This window comes from Homo sapiens, chromosome 1 (genome assembly GCF_000001405.40).
Source record: "Homo sapiens chromosome 1, GRCh38.p14 Primary Assembly".
Taxonomy (NCBI): Eukaryota; Metazoa; Chordata; class Mammalia; order Primates; family Hominidae; genus Homo; species Homo sapiens.
Window position 1 is genome coordinate 25,459,646 of NC_000001.11, and position 20,607 is coordinate 25,480,252.

General features: G+C 40.4%; 1 protein-coding gene across 3 annotated transcripts in view; it reads left to right on the top strand.

The window, feature by feature from the left end:
* The window catches only part of MACO1 (macoilin 1), a 69,313-nt gene that overhangs the window by 28,749 nt on the left and 19,957 nt on the right, over positions 1-20,607 (top strand). The gene's annotated exons all lie outside the window — the stretch shown is intronic.

Consider the following 20,607-nt stretch of genomic DNA (forward strand, 5'->3'; position numbering starts at 1 on the left):
TTTGTATTTTTAATAGTGACAGGATTTCACCATGTTGCCCAGGCTGGTCTCAAACTCCTGACCTCAGGTGATCCACCTGCTTCGGCCTCCCAAAGTCCTGGGATTACAGATGTGAGCCACCGTGCCCGGCCATAAAAGAATAACATTGTTTTATTACATTGACTGGCTCAGACTTAATTTTACTATATTTTATATGGCTTATGTTAGGCAAACACAAATATGTTCCTTTCACCTCAGATCTTTAATTTGGAAACTGAGATCTAAACTGGAGCTTTTTTGTGTGTATGTAACTCAAGAGGGCAATTGAAACTCTCCCCTTCCAGTAAGTTATATTCTTCTTTCTCTGGCTTGCTTTAGGCAGCCCTTTAGGCAGTCCGTTTATTCTAGGAGGGAGGCTTTCCAGCATTATAAATGGTATGAACTAGATTATTAATTTGTTTTAATTTTCTGATTGGCAGTTAAACTAAGCGAGGTATATTTGGGTTCTACTAATACAGGCTCTAGAGGTTTCACAGCCCCCAGGCTACTTTTGGAAGTGTGCTATTTGCTGTTGCCTGGCTGGCATCCATATCCATTTGTTAGGACATTCTGGCCATTGTGCCCAGCAGAAAAAACACGTGGAAGAGAACTCTCCTCCAGATGCCCATGGGAGAAAGACCAATTAGTTTACCTTCTATTTCAGAGGAATATCCCACAAATTCACTAAATGCTATACACAAAACATCTGTCACAGCTATTTACCATCCTTTCTCCTACACATGTTTTTTTTTTTTTTTGAGATAGGATCTCACTGTTTTGCCCAGGCTTGAGTGTAGTGGCGTGATCACAGCTAACTGTAGACTCTACCTCCCCAGGCTCAGGTTTTCCTCCCACCTCATCCTCCTGTGTAGCTGGGACTACAGGCGCATGCCACTATGCCTGGCTAATTTTTTAATTTTTTTGTAGAGAGGAGATCTCGCCATGTTGCCCAGGCTGACACAAGTTTAGTAATAGCGGTCAAGCTATTACTAAATGATGGTTTGTGATATTGATTGACTCTACTATCTGATCTGCTTTTAGTAGAGAAGTTCAAGGACCCAGATGGCTAATTGTCCAGTAAGCTGGAGATGATGACATGGGTCCAGTGCCCCCGTGCCTACACCTAAGGAGTATGCTGCTTCTTGTGGTCACTAATGCGTACTCTGCCTTGACCTACAGTGTCCCAGGTATTACTCTGTTTTGGAGAACTACTTACTATCAAATGACTAATAGACAACATTATATTTAAGTAGGTTTATAAGCTCCCATGGTATTATTTTCAACTTTTAATGTTATAAAAAATAAGGGGATCGATAGACTGGATTAAGAAAATGTGGCACATATACACCATGGAATACTATGCAGCCATAAAAAATGAAGAGTTCATGTCCTTTGTAGGGACATGGATGAAACTGGAAACCATCATTCTCAGCAAACTATCGCAAGGACAAAAAACCAAACACCACATGTTTTCACTCATAGGTGGGAATTGAACAAGGAGAACACATGGACACAGGAAGGGGAACATCACACTCCGGGGACTGTTGTGGGGTGGGGGGAGGGGGGAGGGATAGCATTAGGAGATACACCTAATACTACATGACGAGTTAATGGGTGCAGCACACCAACATGGCACGTGTATACATATGTAACAAACCTGCACATTGTGCACATGTACCCTAAAACTTAAAGTATAATAATAATAAAATAAAATAAAGAATACTATGCAAAGAATATAGGTTTTTAAATCACACCTTGGTTGGATCCTGGACCTTCTATTTACTGTCTGAGTGGCCTTGGGCATATTATTTGACCCCTCTGATTTCCATTTCTTGGAAAGTTGAGATAAAACTAATAGAATAGTGCTGTTGTTAAGGTACAGGCATTCAATAAATGTTGGTTCTCTTCCTTCCCCCCCCTCAAAAAAAAGGGTGATGTAAATATCCAATAATGGGAGAAATTTAAAATAAATTATGGTCCATCCATTTGATAAACTTTTCATATAGATACTATAAAATCATACTTTCAAGCCATATTAAAGAATATGGGGAAGTATGTCAAAGCATTTCATGAATAAAGGAGAAAGCAATTTAATGAAAAACAATTTTTTCTAATATACATAGAAAAATGATTTAAAGGGAAAATAACCAAATTGTTAACAATAGTTGTTATCCCTTGATAGTATTGGGCATTTATTTTTTCTTTTTATTTTCATACATTTTCACATTTTTCTATGATGAACAGCAATGAAAGAGTTTAAAAGGAAAAGCCTCTATCTGAGCAGATTATCCAGCTTGGTTGGAGGAGGTCTTATCTTACTTCCTCCCACCCTTCCTTAGCCGTCGCCTCTGTTTCCTCATTTGACTTCATGTATGTTTTGATCCATGTCAATAAGATTGTGACTGATTCAAACCTGACATGTTTGAGTTGTTAGCTAGAGAGTGGGTTTGTTATCCAGATGGAGCAGCCTGGACTCAGCAGTCTCTAAGACCCCTTCTGATGCAAACATACAGGGCTGACAGTATGTACATGCACTGTTTGCTTCTGCAGGCATACTTGGGGTGGTGCACAGTTTCAGGCCAACAAACTTCCCCAGGGATGCTTTAGCGATAAAACTGATCTCTCCTTTTTTTTTTAATTTTAGATTTAGGAGGTACACGTGCATTCATATGCAGGTTTGTTGCAAGGGCATATTGCATGATGCTGAGCTTTGGGCTTCTATTGATCCCATCACCTAGACAGTGAACATAGTACCCAATAGGAAGGTTTTTCAGCCCTTGACTGCCTCCCTCTCTTCCTCCTTTTCAAGTCCCTAGTGTCTGTTGTTCCAGTCTTTCTGTCCGTGTGTCCCTAAGTTGATCTACCCTTTTCTAAGTGTTGAAGACAAAATTTGAAAACCAGTACTATATTAACTAACCAGTAACTCTACTGTAATAATATAGATTAATTGCAACACATTCTACAGCTATGTCTGTCTGAAAACTGTGGGTGAGAACTGCTATTTTTGAGAAACCAATTCAGTGACTTTTGGGGGGAAAATTCATTACTGCTCCACCAGTTTCAAGGAGAATTCTTATAGCTCGGTTTGGCTGTCCAATTAAGGTTTGATGGCTATTCCCTGTAAAAGGGCGGGCAGTCTGGCAGGTCTTTCTCAAGCTCTCTCAGCTCCAGGGATATTCTTTAGTATGCTGTATACCATGGGTTAGCAAACAACAGCACACAGGCCAAATCTGGCCCACTGCCTGTTTTTGTAAAAATAAATTTTACTGGAACACAGCCACTCTCATTCATTTACATCATATCAATGGCTGCTTTCGTGCTACAGTGGCAGGGCTGAATAGCTGCCACAGAGACTATGGCCTGCAAAGCCAAAAGTATATACTGTCTGGCCCTTTACAGAAAAAGTGTGCTGACGTCCATCATATAGTAGTCACTTGTTTTGACGATCTTTCCCCCTTATTAGATTGTGAGTTCCAGGGGGCAGAAGCTGGTTCTCTTCATTTTTAATATCTCTCTACAAAAATAGAGTGCTTAGTGAATGTTGAATCAATGAATGATATATGGTGACAAGGAACTGGGTGAATGGAAGAAGCTCTGCTTTACAAGGAAATACAGGAGAAAGTGGAGCAGAAGATGCTGGGTAGATTGCTAAGGTAAAGAAATGTGGAGGAAGGTGAGGAACCTGGGAATAAATAGGTGTTGCCTATAGGGTCCTTTCCTAGAAAGTTTGGGAACTTGCCAAAGGCAGTCTGGAGTACTCTGTTGGTTTTAGAAACATATACCTTACAAAATGACCCTGTTTTCTACCAGCTTGATTTCTGAATTGTTTACCTAAGATATTTAAAAACAGACTTAATGTTGGAAGCCAAAAATGGTTTTGATTCCAACATGAGAAAAATTCTAGTCAAAAACAGAAAAAGCAATGAGGAAGATCAGTTGTTTTAACTAAGTACTAAGTTGCAAAGGAATAATATAAATTAGAATAAGGTTGGTTTAAAATTTTTCCTCAGTGGTCAATTAAAAATATTTTAAGTGTGAAAAAAATCATTACAATTTTAGATAAAGGAAGAGAAAATAGTCCCACAATCATGATACAAATTGCTGTTAAAATTTTGTTGTCTTCTCTTAGGCTAATTATATATAGTTGTCATCATAGCATTTTATAGTGTTTTTTAAAATAGATTTTAATTTTTAGAACAGTTTTAGGTTCACAGAAAAATTGAGTGGAAGATACAGATTTCTCATATACCTGCTGTCCCCACACATGCCTAGCCTTCCCATTGTCAGCATCCCCCACCAGAGTGGTACATTTGTTACACAGACGAACCTCCATTGACACATCATTATCAGTTAGTCCACAGTTTACATTAGAATTCATTCTTAGTGTTAAACAGTCTTATGGGTTTGAATACATTTATAATGGCATGTATCTACCTAATGTATAATATACAGAGTAGTTTTACTGCCCTAGAAATCCTCTGTGCTCCGTCCATCCATCCCTACCCTCCCCTGACCCCTGAGAAGTGCTGATCTTTTCACTATCTCTTTAGTTTTGCCTTTTCCAGAGTGTCGTATGGTTGGAATGATATTACATAGCCTTTTCAGATTGACTTCTTTCACTTAGTAATGTGCATTTAAGATTCCTCCATGTCTTCTATAATTTCTTTTTCTTCTCTTTTTTTTTTTTTTTTTTTTTTTTGAGATGGGTTCTCACTCTGTCACCCAGGCTGGAGTGCAGTGGTGTGATCTCGGCTCACTGCAACCTCCACCTCCCAGGTTCAAGCGATTCTCCTGCCTCAGCCTCCTGAATAGTTGGGATTACAGGCAGCTGCCATCACACTCGGCTAATTTTTGTATTTTTGGTAGAGATGGGGTTTCGCTATGTTGGCCAGGCTGGTCTTGAACTCCTGACCTCAGGTGATCTGCCTGCCTGGGCCTCCCAAAGTTCTGGGATTACAGGCGTGAGTCACCGCACCCGTCTATAATTTCTTCCCCCACCCCCCCCCTCCGCGAAATGGAATCTTGCTCTTGTTGCCCAGGCTGGAGTGCAAGATGCTATCTCAGTTCACTGCAACCTTCACCTCCCGGGTTCAAGTGATTCTCCTGTCTTAGCCTCCCAAGTAGCTTGGATTACAGGCACCCACCACCATGCCCAGCTAATTTTTTGTATTTTTAGTAGAGACGGTTTTTTAGTAGAGATGGGGTTTCACCATGTTAACCAGCTGGTCTTGAACTCCTGACCTCAGGTGATCCACCCACCTCGGCCTCCCAAAGTGCTGGAATTACAGGCATGAGCCACTGCGCCCAGGCAATTTTTTTTTTTTTTTAATATAGAGACAGGAACTTACTATATTGCCCAAGCTGGTCTTGAACTCCTGTGCTCAAGTGATCAACCTGCCTCGGCCTCCCAAAGTGCTGGGATTACAGGCATGAGCCATCATGCCCAGCCTGCTCCGTGTCTTTTCCTGGCCTAATAGCTCATTTCTTTTTAGTACTGAATAATATTCCATTGTCTGGATATACCGCAAGTTTATCCATTCACCTGCTGTAGGACATCTTGGTTTTTTCCAAGTTTTGGCAATTATAAATAAAGCTATAAACATCTATGTGCCGGTTTTGGGGTGGACATAAGTTTTCAGCTTCTTTGGATAAATTCCAAGGAGCACAGTTGCTGGATCATAGAGTATGTTTAGTTATAAGAAACTGCCACAATGTCTTTGACAGTGGCTATACCATTTTGCATTCCCACCAGCAATGAATGGGAGTTCCTGTAAATCCTGGCCAGCACTTGGTATTGTCAGTGTTATGGATTTCGGCCACCCTAATAGGTGGATAGTGGTATCTCGTTGTTTTAATTTGCATTTCCCTGGTGACATATGATATGATGTTACATCTTTTTATATGCTTGTTTACCATCTGTGCATCTTTTTTTGGTGAGGTGTCTGTTAAAGTCTTAGCCCACTTTTAAAATTTGTATAAATTCATGGTGTACAAGTGCAATTTTGTTACATGCATAGATTGTGTATTGGTCAAGTCAGGGCTTTCACCCAAATAATATACATTTTACCTGTTAACCAACTTCTCATTATCGACCCTCCTTCTACCCCCTCGTCTTTCCGAGTCTGCATTGTCTATCATTCAACTCTGTGTCCATGTGTACACATTTTTTAGCACCCACTTATGAGTACAAACATGTAATATCAGGCTTTTCGCATCTGGCTTGTTTCACTTAAGATAATGACCTCCATTTCTACCCATGTTGCTGCAAAAGACATAATTTCATTCTTTATATGGCTGAACAATATTCCATTGTGTATGTATACCACATTTTCTTTATCCAGTCATCCATTGATGGACACTTAGGTTGATTCCATATCTTTGCTATTGTGACTAGTGTGGCAGTAAACATACAAGTGCAGGTATATTTTTGATACATTGATTTCTTTTTCTTTGGGTAGCTAACCAGTAGTGGGATTGCTGGATCAAGTGGCAGTTTTACTTACAATTCTTTGAGGAATCTCCATACTGTTTGCCATAGAAGTTGAATTGATTTACATTCTCACCAGCAGTGTTTAAGGGTTTCCTTCTCTCCACATCCTTGCCAACGTGTGTTATTTTTTGTCTTTTTGATATTAGTTCTGCCCATTTTATTTATTTATTTATTTTTGAGACGGAGTTTCACTCTTGTTGCCCAGGCTGGAGTGCAATGGTGCCATCTTGGCTCACTGCAACCTCCACCTCCTGGGTTCAAGTGATTCTCGTGCCTCAGCCTCTCGAGTAGCTGGGATTACAGACATGCACCACCATGCCCGGCTAATTTTGTATTTTTAGTAGAGATGGGGTTTCTCCATGTTGGTCAGGCTGGTCTCAAACTCCTGACCTCAGGTGATCCACCTGCCTCGGCCTCCCAAAGTGCTGGGATTACAGGCGTGAGCCACCTCACCCGGCCAGTTCAGCCCATTTTAAAATCAGTGTGTTTGTTTTCTTATTGTTGAGTTCTAAGAGTTCTTCGTATATTTTCGATAATAGTCCTTTATCAAATGCCTTTTGCAAATGTTATACTTTCAGTCTGAGGCTTTTTACTCTCTTCACAGTGTCTTTTATAGAGCAGAAATTTTTATTTTAATGAGGTCTAGCTTGTCAATTTTTTCTTTCATAGATCATGCCTTTAGAGTTGTTTGTGCAGTTTTTGTGTCCTGCTTTTTTCACTTAAATTATATAAAAATCATTTTCTCAACTTAGTCTAACACTCATTTTTACATAGGATGGAATATTCCATGGCAGGCCAGTGCGATCATTCAGAAATCATGCTCGGCCGGGCACGGTGGTTCACGTCCATAATCCTAGCACTTTGGGAGGCCAAGGCGGGTGGATCACTTGAGGTCAGGAGTTTGAGACCAGCCTGACCAACATGGTGAAACCTTGTCTCTGCTAAAAATACAAAATTAGCTGGGCATGGTGGCGCACACCTTTAACCCCAGCTACTTGGGAAGCTGACGCAGGAGAATCGCTTGAACCCAAGCAGCAGAGGTTGCAGTAAGCCAAGATCATGCCACAGCACTCTAGCCTGGGCAACAAAGCGAGGCTCTTTCTCAAAAAAAAATAAAAAAGAAATCACTCTCTAAGATCAGGCAGAGCAGGGTGCGACACCTGAACTGCTGTCCTGAAGTTTCAAGGCCTGCAGAGGAATCAACAATTTTGTTTGTACTTGCCACAAGGTTCCCTCTCAAAACAGCCCAAGACCATGTGGTTTCTTGTCGGCAATTGTTACTTCTTTCAGTTTCCTTGTTAAGGGAGAGAATTTAACACTTTGAGTTAACAAAATACTAAGTGATCCATAATCTGCAGAAATGTTAAAGCAAACGTCTCTTCTCTGTTTATTTCCATTCCACTGCCTTTTTTGTTAAGACAGATTCATCTTTTTTATTATAGTGTTTATTTTTAATATGGTATCAACCCTTTAAAGTAGTTGAATTGTATCTGGTATAAAGAGTCATAAAGGAAATGTATCCAGAGTTTGCTTGGTAGAGTACCATTTAATAAAACTGAGTAGAAATTAGAATGATGATTTTTTTTTTTTTTTTTTGCAAGTAGAAGAGATCTAAGAGCTATCTAGACCAGCTTCCTTGAACTCTGTTGTTTTTCATTTTTATCAATGAAGTAAATGAACCCTAGAAGATTACATGGCTGGTGTGGGTGACCAAGCTAGGGTGACGGTGCCAGGACCAGAACTGAAGTTTTTTGACTTCTGGAACCCTTTCTGTTACACCATAGTACTTTAAAAAATTTTTATCAACTTGCTTGCTTTTTCTGCTTTATATTTTTTTGGCTTTTTGTTTTGAATGCAAATACAACTAACATTGGCCCAAGGATTGGCACTAGAATGAGATTCTAGGATCTCATGGCTAAAATCTGTAGAAAAATTGGTTAGAATTTCAGATTTTTTTTTTCTACTAGAGAGGTGCTGTTGTGTGTTAAAAATTCTTGCTCTTGCCAAAGACACATGAGTGTACTTACTTATCTCTAAATAGAAGGGAGCCAGCTGCTTGTGTCCTTGAAAGCTTACAGGATCTCTGAGACTTCAACTCTGGTTAGGGCTAGCTTGGGAATTGGTCTGGTCCAGACAGCCTAGAGCCCCACAGCATGGGAATTGTTCTTTATGTCTGGAGTAGGCTTAGCTTGGCAGCAGCAGATTTAAGAGCCCTGAACTAGAAGACTTGAGACCAGAGATGTAACCATCAACTTACCCTGCAGAGAGGCCACCATTAACCTGGTTCCTCATTCTTGCTTCGAAGGCCTAGAGTCCTGGGGTGTGCACATTGCCATGATGGTGAGCTCCTAGAAATTTTGAAGCCATGGAAAAGAAAGTGCCTTTTCTTAAGGAGAATATGGAAATCTGGGTAAAGTGTAATATATTGAATACTCACTCTTTTATTCCGCTCCAAATTCATTTGGTTATTTTAGGCACATCAAAATGATATTACTTATAACTTGGTTTGCTCCCATAATTAGTTCTGTTTAGAGACTTGAGAGCCTGAAAGGAAATGGGGAAAACATTGCTCAGGATTTTTTCAGGAATCTCTAAGCAACTGGTAGACCTGCCTCAGAGAAGAGGGAGGCATAGAGAGGCACTTTGGGAGATTTTAACTCATTTGTTTACACTGAGGAGTGTTTTTTGGTTTTTTTGTTTTGTTTTGTTTTTGGAGACGGAGTCTCACTCTGTCGCCCAGGCTGAAGTGCAGTGGCGCCATCTGGGAAACTTCACCTCCCAGGTTCAAGTAATTCTCCTGCCTCAGCCTCCCAAGTAGCTGGGATTACAGGCAGTGCCACCACATCTGGCTAATTTTTTTATTTTTTTTAGTAGAGACGGGGTTTCACCATGTTGCCCAGGCTGGTCTCGAGCTCCTGACCTCAAGTGATCTGCCTGCCTTGGCCTCCCAAAGTGCTAGGATTACAGGCGTGAGCCACCACACCTGGCTGAGAAGTGTTTAACTTATACTCATATTCAAGTACTAATTTAAATTAACAAATCTGAATCTAGAGAAATATTTTTAGAGCATATATATTGATAACAACATAATCTATAAATAAGCTATGTAATGTTCTAGTCATCAGTGAGTATGTTGATTAGTATTGTGTTGTCTGTGATACGAGTTTTTGTGACTCATTCCTTTCTGGTTTAAGTTGGTGAGTGAGCAAAGTGTCATTGCCCTTCATTGTACTTTCTAGCCCACTTAAACCTTGTATTTATGTTTTATGATTTTAAAACATGAATCTGCCCTTTTTTCCTTAAAAGGGCAGATGAAGATAGCAAATGTTAAAAACGATCAGCTTTCCTCTGTGACTAGACTTTCCTGATGGCACACATTGCTCAAATGTGGCTTGACTAGGAATTCACAGACTTTCATACTTCTGAATTTAACCTTGTCTTCCAGCTACCAGCATTTAATACTGCTGTGTAACCTCTGACTTTTTTTTTTTTTTTTTTTTTGAGACAGAGTCCTGCTCTGTCACCCAGGCCGTAGTGCAGTGGTCCGATCTCGGCTCACTGCAACCTCTGTCTTCTGGGTTCAAGTGATTCTCCTGCCTCAGCCTCCCGAGTAGCTGGGACTACAGGCGTGCGCCACCATGCCTGGCTAATTTTTGTAGAGACGGGGTTTCACCGTATTGGCCAGGCTGGTCTCGAACTCCTGACTTTGTGATCCACCCGCCTCAGCTTCCCAAAGTGCTGGGATTACAGGCATGAGCCACCGCGCCCGGCCAACCTCTGACTTTTATAAGACTCCTTGGTGTATTTGGTCTTGCAGTTTAGGAAAAAACTAAAGTAGATGTTTTAGGGTACTTATTTTTTGTTTCTCCACATTATAAGATGTCTACACCCAATTTAAAATTACACATTTGTTGAATAGAAAGGACTATATTTTTAGATACTGATTTTTCATAATCAGTGGATTCAATATGATTTGGTGTGAATAACTATAAAACAGAGCAAAGTGAAGAGAGAATCCAAGATGTCCCTATTTTGTGATCTTAGAGAAACATTTCAAAGCCACTAGCAAATTTGGGGGCTAATGCTATTTACTATCTATCTTTCTATCATTCTTTATCTCTTGTAGGGAACTGGCCTGGGTCAGGGTTAGGAGTGGTTGAGGCTGGCTCCTAGCTCCAGGGCAAGAGAGAAAGTTGCAACAGAAGGTGGAGAAGAAGATTCAGAGCATGTAGCCCAAGGTTGTTAATAGGCATGAAGCAAGAATAGAATCCAAAGCTGGGACCTGACCATTGGGTTGAAGCAAGACAGAGCGGTCAGTTTAGGAGACAGAGCCTGTGAGCATTCCCTGGACTGGTAACCCAGGGGCAGGTGGCCTTTCATGGAGGATTCCATCCTTCTCCCAAGGCCCTGATGAGTCCTTAGTGGGGAACCACAGTAGTTAAGTGGGAAAGATAACAAACAATTATCTTGAAAGGTGCAAGCCCATCTTAAGGTAATTAAAGGAACCCAAGATTGTCTGCTAAAGTGGGGTGGGGAGGGGGCAGGTAGCAAAACAGATTGTATAGTATGAATCCATGGAAAAATATGGGTAGGGGCCGGGCTCAGTGGTTCACACCTGTAATCCCACACTTTGGGAGGCTGAGGCAGGTGGATCAGTTGAGGTCAGGAGTTTGAGACCAGCCTGGCCAACATGGCGAAACCCCATCTCTACTAAAAATATAAAAATTAGCTGGGCGTGGTGGCATGTGCCTGTAGTCCCAGCTACTCAGGAGGCTGAGGCACGAGAATCACTTGAACCTGGGAGTCAGAGGTTGCAGTGAGCCAGGGTCGCACCTCTGCACTCCAGCCTGGGCCACAGAGTGAGAACCTGTCTTTAAAAAAAATTAAAAATATATATGGGTAGGGCCGGGTACGGTGGCTCACACCTGTAATCCCAGCACTTTGGGAGGTCAAAGCAGGTGGATCACATAAGGCCAGGAGTTCGAGACCAGCCTTGCCAACATGGCAAAACTCTGTCTCTACTAAAAATACAAAAATTAGCTGAGTGCAGTGGCGGGTGCCTGTAATCCCAGCTACTCAAGAGGCTGAGGCATGCAACTCACTTGAACCTGAGAGGCAGAGATTGCAGTGAGCAGAGATCGTGCCACTGCACTCCAGCCTGGGCGACAGAGCAAGACTCTGTCTCAACAAAAAAAAAAAAAAGAAAGAAAGAAAAATATGGGTAGATATATTTCTCATGTGCACAGAAAATTACTTGAAATATATACCAGATGGTCAATTGTAGTTGGCTGCCAGAGACATTTACTTTCTGCATTGTTTATTTCTGCATAGTTTAAGTTTTTATAACATGCTTATTATACCATAATAGAATGTAAGCTCAGTAAGGACAGGGAACTTATTTTCACTGGTTTGTCACAGTACACAGTGCTTGGCTAGCACAGAGTAGATACTCAGTAAATACTTGTTGAATTAATAAATGCTACCTTTGTGCAGGGAAAATACTAGGAAGCAGGGAGGGTGGCACCCAGTAATTTTATCACAGTGCAACTCAAAGGCTTTTGAAGTTAGAAAACCTGAATATCACATTAGACCCAATCGAGGACTGCACATCCAGTGTCAAACTCTTTGTTATTTTTGAGGTTATTAATAATTTTATTTCTAAATAGAAAGTCTCTTTGCTCCAAACCCCTTTTCTTGGTATTTCACAGAAAGTTTTAAAATCCAGCACTCCGTCAGTAGTTTTTCCCAAGGCTTTGAAAGAGGTGTAAGAATTTCTGGAAGTTACAAGGGAAAAGAGGAGAAAAGTCCTCTGAGACACTGTTGTCAAAAAAGGCATTTGCTCTGGCAGTGGGGTTGGTTGTGCTTCAGGGCCAAGGAATCTAGACAGAAGCCTCATCTCAGCCAGGAACAGGGAAGATAATCTCAGTTTGCCTTGTCTTATTCATCTTTTCTGGTGGGTCTAGCCCTCTCTCTCCTCGCCAGTCCCAGATCATTCTTTGTCTTTGTGGTAGCTGGAAATACAGCTCAGATCCCACATTAAAAAAATATATATATTATACTTTGAGTTCTGGGATACATGTGCATGAGTTCTGGGATACATGTGCAGAATGTGCAGGTTTGTTACACAGGTACATACATGCCATAGTGGTTTGCTGCACCCATCAACCCGTCATCTACATTAGGTATTTCTCCTAATGCTATCCCGCCCCTAGCCCCCCACCCCTCAACAGGCCCCGGTGTGTGATGTTCCCCTCCCTGTGTTCATGCGTTCTCATTGTTCATCTCCCACTTATGAGTGAGAACATGCGGTGTTTGGTTTTCTCTTCCTGTGTTAGTTTGCTGAGAATGATGGTTTCCAGCTTCATCCATGTTTCTGTTCCAACCTTCTCTCCAAGGAGATCCTCCAGGTTAGAATATGTGTTTGGCTGCTTTCTCTCTAATGCTACAGAGAGAATGTTAAATTTGTTTGTTCTCTTCTGCTTTGAATGCATTTTGCTTGTGTCAGGAGTAGTTTGCGGAAGAAAATCTGATCTTGGTAGACAGTGATTCAGGCTTTGGGGGTTCCCCTAGCTGCTTTCCCTACAGGTGGCTACACAACAGGGTGCTGACAGATTGCTGCAGAGTCACCTGCTTGACCCCTCCCTGAGTGATGGCGACCACAGCCGGCCTTTCTACTTCTGTGAGGCATAAAATAATTTTTCGGAACAGCATTATTCTAGCTGAGATATAAAATTATAATAAAAATGTATGAAATTTTAGAATGGGAACTGTGAAAACTAGACACTTAGATGTTCTAGCTAGACTAAATTGAATATGTTGGCTATAGCTGCTGCTGAATTATTTGGAAATTATCAAGTGGGAAAAAATAAGTAGTAGAGACATCTGTCTAGTAAGTTTAGTGTGTTTTCTGTCTCTGTGGAAACATGTTTTTGATTTATGTTTTTCTAGCACTATGTCTGAGCAGATATACTTTGTCGGACCTGATTAATTTTCATTTTCTGCTATAACCATAATATTTTCTATACCTATAGTTTGACTCTGTTTATATTAATATACAATATAGTTTGAGTTTATTTTAACCATTGCAGGAATTTAAAACTATCGTATTCTGGGATATAAATGTGGTAATAGAGGCATGATTTTATACTTAAACAGGGTTTTTTGTGGCTTGAAAAACGTGGCATTTTAGAAACTAGGCATAAGTGAATTTAAGCAAACAGTTTACCGAATGTCTCCATATCTAAGAGGCCAAACAGGAAGGTGATTATGGTGTATGGATAAATTATGAAGTAACATGTAGGTTATTGGGGAGGGGGCTTCTACATAAACATGAAAAAAAAAATTTTTATGTTGAGTCCCGAGAGTTCATTCTATCAAAACTGATTTCTAGATAGGCTGTTTGAAAGTTTACTCCCTAGAATTGAGAAGGAACTATTACAAAACTTTGAAAGGCTTTGTGTTAAATTCTGAGTCAGTACCTCTGTTGGCATATAATGAATTTAGTTTTTCATCTAAGGGGGTTAGGGGTGGATTCCCTGAAGGGAAGGTAACCCCAAGGAAAAGGAACCATATTCTTTAAATATTATTCATGCTATCATTTAGAAACTGGCTATTTGGATACTTTGCCAGCCAATGTGGGTATATTTCATCTTTGCAAATCTCTTGGGTACCTCTTAGATCTTTAAAACCAACTTTCAGTTTCTTTTTTATAGGTAGAATGACAACTCTCCTCTATCACAAGGTACATTTCACTTTTCTTGTTAGAGTGTTCCAATAGATTCAAAACAGAAACACAAATTAATGAATTAGAAAGGACCATTACTCCCCCCACACTCTGCTCCAGAGCAAGTATTGCAGACTCAGACTCCTACAGGAGTGAGTGAGGCAGGCTAGGGTGAGCACTCTGGAGTCTGGCATTGTCATCATTCTCATTCAGTACTGAACCTGACACCTAGCATTTGGGGAGCATAAACCCTTCCAAAGGGGACAGCCAGTTGTTGCCATGGGGGATTGTAGGCCCAATGTTGCCAAGTCTTCTGATACTTTGGGGAGATGCTGAAAATATCTTTACGTGAAACCTCTCAGTTAAAAAACTTTTTTTTTAACATCATGTAGGAGGAGGGTCAAACAAAACATGTTTATGGGCTATATTGGCTCACCAGTTTGCAACCTCTGTGCCTCACTTTTTCTGTTATACTTGTGTTTTGCTCCCTCTAGCCCTCTGGCCCCACCAGTGAAAACTTGACTTTCCTTTAGCAAGGACTTTTCTATTAGGGAATACCTGGTAAATCCTATGAACTAATCTGCCATATATTAATGGGACCTTTTTGCTTTTTCTTCTTCAGTCTTCTGTGCTCCTAGAAAATAGGCCATGTTGATGGTACCTCTCTAGAGTGAAACACCACTCCCTTTACTGTTAAATTCCCACACCTGACTGTGAGGCTTTCATACCGCTTAGAAGGAGAGGGGACAGCCTTGTGATAAGGGTGGTTTGGGGCCTTCTGGCATTCCTCAAACTATACTGTGCAGAGAGCTGCTTACTCCATCTGTGTCTAGGACTGGTAACTTCTTCTACATCAAGATATTTTTCTACTGTGTTCTCAGAGCACAAAATACACCAAAACTCAGGATGTGGGTCCTGCTTCTTCACAGACGACACAGGGTTGGCTTAGAATTTGAACTTCGCAGCACCATTTCTTGTAGCGTGTGGTACAGTGAAGTCTCAAGTCAGAGCAGTGCCTCCTCTCCTGCAGTCAGTGTTGTACGTAACCAAGAGATCTTTCCAAAGAGAGCAGGACAAACAGGACAATAAACTGCAGCTAGAGAATCTAAATTTAGAAAAACTATTATTTTGATAGGAGCAGATGAATAGGAAGTAGTTGAGGTAGATTTAAAAACTGAGGCATTCTCGGCCGGGCACTTGGCTCACGCCTGTAATCCCAGCACTTTGGGAGGCCGAGGCGGGCGGATCACGAGGTCAGGAGATCGAGACCATCCTGGCTAACACGGTGAAACCCCATCTCTACTAAAAATACAAAAAAATTAGCCGGGCAAGGTGGCGGGTGCCTGTAGTCCCAGCTACTCGGGAGGCTGAGGCAGGAGAATGGCATGAACCCGGGAGGCAGAGCTTGCAGTGAGCCAAGATCGTGCCACTGTACTCCAGCCTGGGCAACAGAGCGAGACTCGGTCTCAAAAACAAACAAACAAAAAACAGGCATTCTCTGTATCAGAAAGTTAAAGTTCCCCTTTTTTGGAGTGACCTAAAAAGTTTATGTTGGCTGAGCATGGTGGCTCACGCCTGTAATCTGAACACTTTGAGAGGCCGAGGTGGGAGGATCACTTGAGTCCAGGAGTTAGCTTGACCAGTCTGGTCAACATAGCAAGACCCAGGCTCTACAAAAAAAAAAAAAAAAAAAGGAAAAAAAGTAAGAGACTTGGATTTTCCCTAAGGTTTTGGGTTGTTCTGAAACTGCCCTGTTACATGGGCAAATCTGAGAGTGTCAGTGAATGCGGAACAGAATGGGGAGCAGGTTAGTAGTATCCTCTTTTAAAATTATCGAATAATAATTAAAATGTTAAAAATAAGTTATGCATATTATATCTGATTTTGAAAAGGAAGAGATAACCACTATTTTATATCCTCCCAGCATTTTTCTCTTGCATATATATTCTTTTTACAAAATTAAGCTCATACTATGTATGTTTTGTAGCTTTTATTTTTCACAGACTCTATCATGAGCATTCTTCCATGTCATTGAATATTCTTCATTGGTGATTTTTTAATGATTTAATTTTTTAATGACAATCAAATATGAATGTACTGTAATTTAGCCACCCTTCTGTTGACTATCTAAGTGCTTCTGATTTTTTCTTATTACAACAGACAAGCTTTTACATAAGATATGAATATTAATGACTGCTGATACACACTTGTCAAATCTGACTAGATTCCTTTATGGACCTTACTAAAATGACTAGTTCTTGGCACTCACAGCTTTATTCTTGAAGAACTTTAAGAAGTCAGTAAGTACCCTATTTCCCTAAATGACCAGTTGTGTGAAAGTCTCTAGAATTCTTTTCTGTCTCTCTTTGCATTCCTTTAGGAAAATTAATGTGTTTGCCTTTTGTGTTTGACAGATTATGGAGCAGAGACATAAAGTACTTTGTAACATGGCTTCACCTAGTAATCAGGTCATCAAGCTCTTGCTTGTTTTTGTACACTTATGCCTTGTAGTCACTACAGTGACACCAGAGGCAGCTTCATGTCAGTATTTCCAAATCTGTGGTTTATACCTGCTACACTGAAGCAGGGTCATGTTAGTGTAGGCCTCACTTAAGATGGGATATATCTACCATATTCTTAAAATACATTTTTCTGTGAATGACCCAAGCTACCTGTCCTGTCAGTGTGAGTGACCTGGAAAGGAGAGAGGGAGGAGTTGGTATAGAGGGTAATCAGTATTTCTTCTGAGGACAGAGCTTTGATTTATGAGCTCAACTTTCTGCACAGACAGCTGTGTGGTCCTTAAACAAGTCTTGTCTTGTATGATTAATGTGTACCAGGGGAACTCCTAATGGAACTAGGTACTAATCGAGATGAAGCAGTTGCTCTTCATTAATTCTTTTCATGTGCACCTGCCTTCCTTAAAAGCAAATGCCCACTTACCCCTGTTCCCTTCAGCCACTATTTAAATTAAAAATCAGATGGTCTGCTGTAGATAGGTTTCCAGAGCCTCTTATGTCGTAACACTGACCCTGTTCCATTGTGAGCACTGAGGAGATAGACACAGAGTGAAGATTAGTGACATGATCTATAAGGATTGGAAGAAACTTTAGAAATACAGTCCCAGCTTCTAATTTTGTAGCACAGTCCCTGGCTTCAAAGAACTTATAGTCTTGTTAGAAATACAATACAGTCACAGGAAAAGATTAAACATCAGAACAGCAGCAACAAAAAGAAGCCCAGCACAGGGCGATGGTTTGATGCCAAATGTGAAACACTAACATGGAGAGCTTTAGGGTTTTAGAAGGAGAAGAGATATTGGGCACCGTGTGCTGGAGAGTTTAATTTTTGTTGTTTTTTAACTGAGCCTTGAAGAATGGGTAAGATTGAAAAATGGAGGCCATTCCTCCCAAAGAGGTAACATAGTAAAAGGCAGAAAATGTCTGGAAAACAAGGAGTGGGTCATTTTGGCTGATGTGAAGGGTTTGTTAGAAAACCTACCTTTCAATTAGTTGGCTGTATAATTTGGAGATGACTTTTTGAAGCCCCTTCTCCTACAGAGCAAGCAGCAGGGTAAATTCTGTATTGCAGAGCCTAGAGCCTCTCTGTCACTTGCTCTTTAGAGTTCATAGATAACCAGCAAAGCTGAGGCTCCTTATCATCCCCAGGGGTTCATGGGGTCCAACCTGCAGCCCACAGACATATATCTTTAGGTGGTTTTCTGGAATGGGTATGGGCTGTGACTCATAGTCACCCCTAGGTGAAGTCTTGGCTGAGAAAAAGGTCTGCTTCTTTTTTATAAGACTTGATTCCTGGGGAAATTTACTGCCCTGATGCCTTAAACTTCCCCTATGCTTTCAGTCAGGCCTCATAAAGCTGAAGTCAGGCTTAAAACCATGAAGTTATTGGCAGTAGCCACTGAAGACTTTTAAACTTTCAGTGAAGGCATAGTGGTGTGGGCTGTAATTCAGGTAATTCACAAGAGATAAGAATTACAAACATTTAGACATAGTATCTCCCTACCTTTTCAGATACTTAAAAACAATACCCATTTCAACTAAAAGCTAATACTTAAATACTGTGTTTCAGCTGGGCGTGGTGGCTCAGGCCTGTAATCCCAGCACTTTGGGAGGCCAAGGCAGGCAGATCACTTGAGTTCAGGAGTTCAAGACCACCTGGTCAACATGGTAAAACCCCATCTCTACAAAAAATACAAACATTAGCCAGGCATGGTGGTACAGGCCTATAATCCCAGCTACTCAGGAGGCTGAGGCACAGGAATCACTTGAGCCCAGGAGGCAGAGGTTGCAGTGAGCCGAGATCATGCCACTGCACTCTAGCCTGGGCGACAGAGCGAGACTCTGTCTCAAAAAAATTTTTTCAATAAATAAATACTGTATTTATTTTACCACCAGGTGTTCTTCCAGATACTCAAAGATATTTTTCCTCTTTAGCCTGTCTGAAAGGCTAACATTTGAACTTCATTCCTTTGGTCAATTAGCAGATTGCCCTTTATTAAAATGTAAATCTCTTCCTCTTAAAATTAAATTTAAATAATTATTAATCATTTACATTACAGTTTATCTTAATTGGGTAGGATTAGGGAGAAGGTGAGATATAGTTAAGGTTTGGAGTAAGAGTGATCCTTAAACTTGACACTTTTGCTTTGAAGTCAGCCTGGCATCTGACACAGGGACCTGAGAAAGTGCTGCTGTATGGGTCCCAACTCTTGCTGTGAGTTAGATAATAGGATTCAGAGGTAGCTTCACAACTCCCTTAGAAGTTGAGTGCTATCTTTTGAAATTATCAGTAAAGTGAGTAGGAAAAGTTGCCTGGACCTGATGTGTAATAATTTAGAACCCTGGCTTGTTCAGTTGGACAAAAATGGACATATTTATTGTACATATAAACTCCAGCTTTGCCATGGGCCCTGTCTGTGTCCAAAGTGGTGATGCCACAGGGCAGGCCTTTGTAAGGGTGAAAACTGGTTCCACAAGAATTAGGCAAGAAGGAAGTGCATTTATTTCCTGACTAAGCCTTATTAAAGCTTGGTCCAGATGTATCTGGCCCATTATTTTTTTTTTAAATGAGATTGTAGCTCTTCTGGAGAAAACTACTCTTTTATCCCTTAAAATTCTATAGTCTAGGGAAGAGTGTGGCCCTTAACTCAGATAAAAGGGGTTTGATGTTTTCCTCCATTCTCTCTATCCCTGTCTGCTGAGATTAGTTTCAAGGCTTATAATCTATTACTTCTGCCTCGTTTTCTTCCTGATCATTGCTTTTAATTTAGGTTTCAGCTAATGACATTTTAATAAAATCATATTAATACATTTGGCGATTTTGCATTAACCTTTTAACACCACTTAATAAAAACTTCTTTGTACTTCACACTAATAAATTATATATCTGTATTTTACCTATAAAGTATTGAACTTCAGCACCAAAGGGTTAAGTATGCCATTAAGACAAATAGTAGTTATCTGTTTAATAAATGCTTCTAGCACTCAACTATCTTGATTCAGTTCAATTTGCTAACACATACTTCTTTTTTTTTTGAAATGGAGTCTCTCTCTGTCGCCCAGACTGGAGTGCAGTGGTGTGATCTTGGCTCACTGCAACCTCTGCCTCCTGACTTCAAGCGATTCTCCTGCCTCAGCCTCCCCTGGTAGCTGGAACTACAGGCACAAGCCCAGCTGCTTTTTTTGTATTTTTAGTAGAGACAAGGTTTCACCATGTTGGCAGGGTTGGTCTCGAACTCTTGACCTCAGATGATCTGCCCGCCTCAGCTTCCCAAAGTGCTGGGATTACAGGCCTGAGCCACTGCACCTGGCCACACATAATTCTTTCAAAACTCATGACATACATTTTTCTATTGGGCAAATGCAAAAATTGAGATATATCTTAGAAAATAGGATTGTATAGTACGTCCATACAATGGAATATTAGTCAGCAATTAATTATTTATGGAAAATGTCTAATAGTGTGAGAAGGTACTTGTGATTTATAAGCTGTATATGTGGTACTCTCTCACCAATATTAAATATATTTACATGTACGAAGAAATAGAAAAAAACATACAGAAAAGAGGTACACCAAATAGTGAGCAGTTCGTCTGGATAAGAGGATTATGAGTTATTTATATTTTTATTTATACTTTTCCATTGTTTATTCAGTTTTTGATACTGTGACTGGGTATCAAAAATAAACTCAATGCAGGTGGTAAATCATTTTGCTGCCTACCTTAGTAAAGATTTAAAATATATAATGGACATTCAAGGCAAATTAATGCTTTCTGTAGACAGCTAATGAAAAATTGTCCATCATAAATTTTTTAAAATTGCTGAGAATTTTGCCATTTACTGTTTTATGTTATCCT